This window comes from Homo sapiens, chromosome 7 (assembly GCF_000001405.40).
Source record: "Homo sapiens chromosome 7, GRCh38.p14 Primary Assembly".
Taxonomy (NCBI): Eukaryota; Metazoa; Chordata; class Mammalia; order Primates; family Hominidae; genus Homo; species Homo sapiens.
Window position 1 is genome coordinate 16,074,741 of NC_000007.14, and position 8,192 is coordinate 16,082,932.

General features: G+C 38.5%; 2 annotated features.

Moving 5' to 3' along the window:
- Positions 1,863-3,062: an enhancer, noted in NCBI's record as "BRD4-independent group 4 enhancer chr7:16116228-16117427 (GRCh37/hg19 assembly coordinates)". NCBI's record gives its function as "activates an origin of replication core promoter dependent on BRD2, P300/CBP, MED14 and CDK7 cofactors, and independent of BRD4, by STARR-seq in HCT116 cells {active_cell/tissue: HCT116}" and the evidence as "EXISTENCE:reporter gene assay evidence [ECO:0000049][PMID:35650434]".
- Positions 3,389-3,923: an enhancer, noted in NCBI's record as "NANOG hESC enhancer chr7:16117754-16118288 (GRCh37/hg19 assembly coordinates)". NCBI's record gives its function as "activates a minimal SCP1, AML or CMV promoter by ChIP-STARR-seq in primed H9 embryonic stem cells {active_cell/tissue: H9 hESC(primed)}" and the evidence as "EXISTENCE:reporter gene assay evidence [ECO:0000049][PMID:30033119]".

Consider the following 8,192-nt stretch of genomic DNA (forward strand, 5'->3'; position numbering starts at 1 on the left):
TGGTAAAAAATTAAAAACATAATGTGAGAACTTTCCATCCTAGATTGTATTGTCAGGTTGATATTTTAAAACACACTAAGTATTCTAGTTAAGTGAAAAAAAAAATCCATAAGGACAACCAGATAGAGGTTTAGAGACAGGTTTCAATTATTCATGGGTTGATAACAAAAAGAAAACAGCCAAGAGGTAGTGGCTCATACCTGTAATCCCAGTACTTTGGGAGGCCAAGGCAAGAGGATCACTTGAGGCCAGGAGTTAGAGACCAGCCTGGGGACGACAGCATGATCCAGCCTCTACAAAAAATTTAAAAATTATTCAAGCATGATGGCACGTGCCTGTAGTCCTAGCTGCTCAGGAGGCTGAGGCGGCAAGATCACTTGTGCCTAGGAGTTCATAGTTACAGTGAGCTGTGATAGCACCACTGCACTGCAGCCTAGGAGACAGAGTAAAACCCTGTCTCTATTCAAACATGAACTTTTTTTTCTATAGGAAAGCTGTATTTAAGTGTTCATTTTAGAGTATCAGTTTACTGACCTATTCAGCTGATGGTATTTAAATGCAGCATAGTTAGTATCCCTGGACTTCTCTGTGCAAATCCGGCATATTCTCAGGAGTAGCCAACTGTGAGGTCTATTTCCATGAATTTCTGCATCTGGAGGCTTGACTGTGAATATGTGTAACTGCATCATCCCCCCTACACCATCACATACCTGACAGTCAGTGTGCTTATCAGTGATAGTATACAGACGGCAAAGGGGTCTTACAGTGCCATAATCTCATGGAAACATTTTAAAGTATCATTCTCTTAGTAGGTTGCAAGGTGGTTCAGTAGTTTTCTGTCATTCAAAAGCAACAGAAAGGTCTTGCTAACAAATATCATGCATCTCAGAGAAGAAACAGCAATAATGTGAACAAAGTGATTATGGTTAAAATGTACTCTCTCTTCTTAAGGTGGTCATCTGCAGGGGCCTGGAAAGGCTACACAAATTTATGCTTTTATTTTCTAAATATTATATCCATAATAAAGCTGGAAGAGTATTGACTCAGACTGCTTTTTGCTATAAAAGGAGCATTTCCAAATTGGAGAGAACATTCTGCAATGTATTTACATGTAAATATTTGATATACATTTAAATCCAGTTCTATTTACAAATTCTCAGTATCTTGATATCTAAACTCTCTCAATTAATTCCCACTTCCCCACTACAGATCAATTAACTATGCTTTCTCCTCAATCCCTTTAACCTACTTTATTCTCAATAATCTACATACTATGAGTCTGAACCTGGACACCAGTAGATATGGCCTTTCTATCACACTAGAAAAACTATGAGCAAAATCACTTCTACTACTTCGAGAACATATCCATATGTCATTTTAAACATCTACTTAATCTATCCAGAGACTATGGCAATCTTCAGGAAAAAGAAAGTTTATCTTTTGAAACCTCCTCCCTATGATTAGCTCTTACCACAGTTCTCCTATTTGCCATGGCCTGCCCTCCTTGCCATGCTACAGAAGTACAGTTCTTTAACCATGACCTTCTCTCCCTGCTATACAGGGGTAGGGAAGGATTAGAAAAGTAATTCTCAAGGGAATAGGTAGCACAAGGAAGGGAATGGTAGGCAGTTTGCATGCTTAGTATTATAATTTTACATATTGAAAAAATATTCTCATAAGAACTTCAGGAAGCAAACTTCAAAACTTCTCTTTGCTGGTGTATTAGTTTATTATTATTATTATTGCCATAACAAATTACCACAAACCTGGTGGCTTAAAACAATACAAATTTAATTAAATATCTATCATACTATTTGAAATATACCTACTGCACCACTGGGCCGTTGTGAAAAACTATAGAGAAAGCAATTGAATACCATTTGGGTGGTTTTCTTTCATATTTTTGATGGTTATTAACTCATTTCATTTTCTCCTTGTGCTAAACTAAAAATTTCTCAGAGAGACATTATAAATAAAATACAGTGGTCATAAATGTGAGTGACTACAGAAATCAGGCAATAATGAGTGAAGAAGGCAGTGTGTGTTACCTCAAGGGGTAGATGGGCCTGCGGATAATAAGAGTTTGTGCCTGTATTAGTCCATTCTCACACTGCTGTAAGAACTGCCTGAGACTGGATAATTTATAAAGGAAAGAGGCTTAATTGACTCACAGTCAGCATGGCTGGGGAGGCCTCAGGAAACTTACAATCATGGCGGAAAGCAAAGCAGACACCTCCTTCAGAAGGCGGCAAGAAGGAGAAGCGCTGAGTGAAATGGGAAAGAACCCCTTATAAAACCGTCAATCTCGTGAGAACTCACTATCGTGAGAACAGACTGGGGGGAACCACGCCTGTGACTCAATTGCCTCCACCTGGTCTGTGATTCAATTGCCTCCACCTGGGCTATGATTCAATTGCCTCCACCTGGGCTATGATTCAATTGCCTCCACCTGGTCTCTCCCTTGACCTGTAGGGATTATGGGGATTACAATTCAAGATGAGATTTGGATGGGGACAAAAAACCTGACCATATCAGTGCCGCTTCTTAAAAGGCTAGCTACTCTTCAGGTTGAGGTCACTTGCCTTGAAGGAAAAAGATCCCCTGGCCGGGCGCATTGGCACATGCCTGTAATCCCAGCAGTTTGAGAGGCAAAGGTAGGAGGGTCGCTTGAAACCAGCCTGGCGACACGGCAAAACCTTGTCTCTATAAAAAATACAAAAATTAGCCAGGTGTAATGACAGGCTCCTGTAGTCCCAGACACTTGGGAGCCTGAGGTGGGAGGATCATTTGAGCTCCAGGAGGTTGAGGCTTCAGAGAGCTGAGATCACACCAGTGCACTCCAGCCTGTGTGACAGAACAGACAGTGTTTCAGTAAAAGAAAAAGGCCCGTCATTGCTAGATGGCTGCATTTTTATGAAATGCCCCAATTTGCAAATGTAAACACCTATTTTGTATTTTTAACACAGATCTGACAACAGATCTGTGGGCTAAATCCAGCTGGAGGGCTTCTAGTTCCTATAAAGCTAAATGTTACAAACTTCTGTCACTCAACACAATAATGCTCTTATATGAGAGAGAGAAAAGACATAGTCACGTATTAAGAGTTGTACTAACCAGCACTATTACTTGAGTTAATATTTTCAAGCATTTCTCCATTTTTATTAGTCATAAACTACTATTACTATCAAAGTGTAAGTCAAATCCTTTTGAAAACAATCTTAACATGAAACAGAGGCAAGATTTTGTGATTATCACAGTAAGATCATTCTGGTCACTGCTGAGAGCCTGAACATCATGAGACATTGATAGTAAGCAAATGCTGAATGCCTTGCTTTAAATGCCAATAAAGCACAAGAATAAGCATAATTCACAACTTTTGTGACAACATCTGAAAATCACACATACATAACACATCAATGTATGCGTATGTTTAGATGTATACAGATTTTGTTTCCCTGCTGAATGCATCTCAGTGGACATGCCGAAGTCCAAAGACAAAAAACCCATTCTACCACCAGGTGGAGCTTAGTTTCCATTAAAGCAGCAGATACATGAAGAGGATTTCTAGTGTTTGTTTGAATTCTTTGTGTCCCTCAGGAAAGACCTGAAGAAAAAAGGTGAACTTCAAAGGAGAGTGTGTATTTTAAAAGCCTGTCACAAACGCCAGTTGCCACAGGGCTTTAAGTATTTTTCATCAGTACTCATTTGATCAGGTGCTGGGGGCCATTCATGAATGGCTTGACAACTGACTTCCTTCCTTTCTGTCCTTTTCCCTTTCTTTGTATGAGAATGTTAAATTCCCATACATTTAAGTGCCCAACTTTAAATAAAAATCACAGATTATCACAATAACAGAGCCTAAGAAGTAAAATTACCAAAACAAATCAGCTATATTATGTAAATATTGACTCTAATTCACAATATTATGTAAATATTGTGAATTTTTACATATTATGTAAATATTTACATATTTTACACAGTATTTTACAAATATTTACATATTTTACATATTATGTAAATATTTACATATTGTGTAAATATTTACATATTGTGTAAATATTTACATATTGTGTAAATATTTACATATTGTGTAAATATTTACATATTATGTAAATATTGTGAATTTTATTGTAAATAATTCACATTATGTAAATATTGATTCTAATTCACACAGCAGAACATTAGATGAAATGAATGCCATTAGATGAAATACAGTACAGAAAGCATCTAGGCACAGCACCTGAAATAAGAGTCAGCTGGTAGTAAAAGTGTCTTCCACCATATTCTCAAAGATGATAATCATTTAATGATTCATTCCTACCAAATCAATGTTCTGCATATATATGAATGCTCATTGTGTGTTCAAACATGGCAGGGCCTTGCAGAAAACCTGTTGTAAACCAAAACATGTTGTTTGTTCTTAAATTGAGGAGAAATGATGCTACATTTAATTAGTATATCCCAAGTCAGCATGTATACAGTGTGGATTTGTGAGTTTACAGCCTTTAAATATCAAAATAATGGAAAGGTCCGAGAAGGTATGCTAGTTGAGCAGCAACAGGAATAAATACTGTAGGAAGCATAGGAATTGAATAAAGAGAGGGCAGGTGATGTGTTCCCAGTAAGAGCAAGGCCATCAGTCAAAGTGCAACCGGAAGAAGGGGATGCGTGGGTATGTGGTCAGGAAGGCAACTGGTCTGATTCCACTGAAGGTGCAGGACTAATGTTGGCCTTATAGGTAGCACTAGAATGCAAATATAGAGGTGGACTACAATGATGAAATATACAGTAAAGGAAAAATGATGGGTTTACTTGCTAGAGAAATAAGTAGAGAGTTACTGAAGATCATGGAATAGGAATGTAGAGTGAGGGGAGCATTATTTGTGGAGCTTATGAAGGGAAAAAAATTGGGGAGGCTTATTTCATATTGATCCTGCATGTGTAACTTCTTTTATACCTGTCACCAACGTTTATGCTTCTAGATTCAAAGAAAATAAAGAACATCTGTATGGCATCGATATGCCCTCTTAAGTTGTCTAGTGTTAAAATACTGTAAGTTCTATAATAAAATATGACATAAGTATAAAGAAGAAACAAATGTGTGTAAAAAGATAACAACAGGCCACATCAGACAGCCACAGCACATTCAAGGGCACAAGGCAAAAAAGACAGTGTTGGTCAGGAAATGGCAAGTGGTTTGCTGGAGTGTGAAGCATGTAGGGCATGAGTGGCTTGCGATGAGTGTGTAGATGGAAATGATGGAAGGAGAAGTGAAGAAGCCAGCCTAGATTTGAGGGATAGCTCAAAGAAAACTAGGTGGTTGGATAGGGAAGAAGGAAAATAGAAAAGGGTCCGAAACTCTAAAAGCAGCAGAGCAAGAGTGAGCACCAGTAACATCAACAAAGACAAGAATGTGGGGAACAAGTCAAGCTTGGGGGAGAAAACATAGTCTCTTTCTAACTGAAAAGATATGCAAGTATAAGCATGTTTTTCAGTAGACAAAGATACAGGACTGGAGATCATGCAATAGTCATTAGGAGGCAGTGTGGGTCTGGGAGGGAAGAGAAAACTGCACTGAAAACAGAGGCATTCATTATCTGTACCTCTCATTTACTACGCAATATACAGAAGGCAGGACTACTTTGATTACTCATTTATTTTGCCCTGTTCTTTATCCTCCCCCTTCTACTGAAAGCTTGTAGCCTGGTTTTACAGTTCTTTGCCTCAGAGATTTCAGAAGGAAGGTGATATGGTTTGGCTGTGTCCCCACCCAAATCTCATCTTGAATCGTAGCTCCCAGAATTCCCATGTGTCATGGGAGGGACCCAGTGGGAGGTAATTAAATCATGGGGGCAGGTCTTTCCCCTGCCATTCTCAATGATTGTGAATAAGTCTCACAGATCTGATGGTTTTATAAAGGGGAAGTTCCCCAACAAGCTCTCTTGCCTAACATGATGCTCCTCCTTAGCCTTCTGCCATGATTGTGAGGCCTCCCCAGCCATGTGGAATTGTGAGTCCATTACACCTTTTTTTTTTTTTTTAAAATAAATTACCCAGTCTTGAGGATGTCTTTATTAGCATCATGAGAACTGACTAATACAGAAAGAGAGCAGGAAAAGCCTAAATTTACAGGTGCTGCTGGTTCTGGTGTAAAAGACAAAATCCATTAGATTATACAAACGATACTTGGGTAAGGGAAAAGAGGCAAGTGACTTTTAATGAAAGCTGGAGTTAACCACATAGGTACAACTTAATGCTTAGCCTGAAGGAGATTACATCTTAAAAGTGAACAGAGATACATAAAGAGAGAAATTTGGAATGTAATCAGCAAAGTGGAGGTGTCCACTGGTGCTATGTGAATATCAAGAGGATATGTCGCCCTCTAGGAAAGTTTAGGGAAGGAATTTAGTAGAAGCCTAAACCACACCTTGAATACTAAGGCCATAAAGAGATAGAGTATTCTCTGCACATCAGATTCTGGAAAGTTCTCTCCTCTGAGCTTCTATGGCTATGTAACAATACCATTTACTTCACTCTTAGCATATACCACTTTCCATTGTCATAAATTGTGTATTTATCACTTTTCCAGAAAACATATCAAGGAGAATGGGAATCCTGACTTTAATTGCTTTATAGAATTTCCATGTAACCTAGAGGTATTGATCATAAGAGATGCTCAATAAATAATTAGGAACCAGGATTTGGTCTGCTACGCAGTTCTCATCTTAATGACCAAGAGGCACACATCTCTTGCTAATGACACTGCCAACTGGCCTGAAGCCCATAGAAGCATGAGAACCAAAATAAAAAAAAACTGGAACACAATTGAATATGTAGACTCTAAATATATATTTTGTCATCAGATTATTTTCTTATTTTTTAGAATCACTTTTATATCCTAATTGATATGAAGCAGTGTAGGGAGAATACAAAAAATAGGGGCTTTGGGTACTGGCCATGCAACTTACTAGCCATGTAATTTCAGGATCTTCACTTGGCTTCCATGAGGCTCAGGCTTTTCTGTAATATATGGGTAACTGTAAGTTCTCAAGAAAGTTACATCAGATAATGTGAAAATTATTTGGTAAAAAGTAAGACACAACTTACTGGTAATTATGGTTAAATAACTCATTTGTCTCCAAGATACTTTTTTTACCATAATAAAGATCACAGAGGTTTTATAAAGAAAAAAGCAGAGTCTGTATTTTACATATGTTGCCCATGCTTGTGTTCCTTGGTGAAGTCGTATGAATTTATTCAAGTCACAAAATATTTCTCCCAGTTAAACATATTTTTGAAAAAAATCATTTTCTAAAATTACAATGTTACAGTTGACTGTGGCTAAAACAATCCAGACTCAGGGAAATGTATCAATATCCACACTATTTTGTGTTTCACTTGTTGGACACGAGCATTTTTCTTGAAGAGAATGGATGATAGTAGTATCACCCATTCTAGGAGTATCTAATCTTCATATAACCAATAAGGCACATCCTTTGGATGGGGTAGCCATTGCTTGCCCTCTGGTTCAGGAGTAGCTGGGGTCTAACATCCAGGGATCTGAAGTGTTACTGATAGGCAGGTGGAGACAGGCCTGATATGAGTGGCAAAGCCACCTTTGCTTCTGATTGTAGTACATGTTTATGTTGTTCAGAAAGGTTATTGAAGTTTCAGGGAAAGTCTAGCTTCTACCTCCTTCATTGCATGCATCTGAGATCGAGCTGGAAGAGCATCCCAAACTGATACCTTCGATGCAAGGAAAGTCTTCCTCTTGGTGGGATGCACAGGGATAGTTAAGACTGGAGGCAGCAGTGCCAGGTAGAGTGGCTTTCTCATGAGGATCATCAGCATCAGGGGTAACAGCATGGTGACAAGATGAAAAATTAAAGGTATAAGAAATCGAGGGGCTTATTCTAGAGCATTCATGAAATTGCTAAGAATACTGTGAGTCAGGTTAGTTTCTAGCAGTAATAATATGGGCTGATGTTATAATAATTTGGGTTAAAAAAATGAAAGTGTAATCTCATTTTTATGTCATAGGCTTTTTAAGTCATGAGGCTGCCAACATAAAAGACATGCCATTGCTTTAAAAATGTGTTTAACCGCCGGGCACAGTGGCTCACGCCTGTAATCCCAGCACTTTGTGAGGCCGAGGGGGGCAGATCACGAGGTCAGGAGATCGAGACCATCCT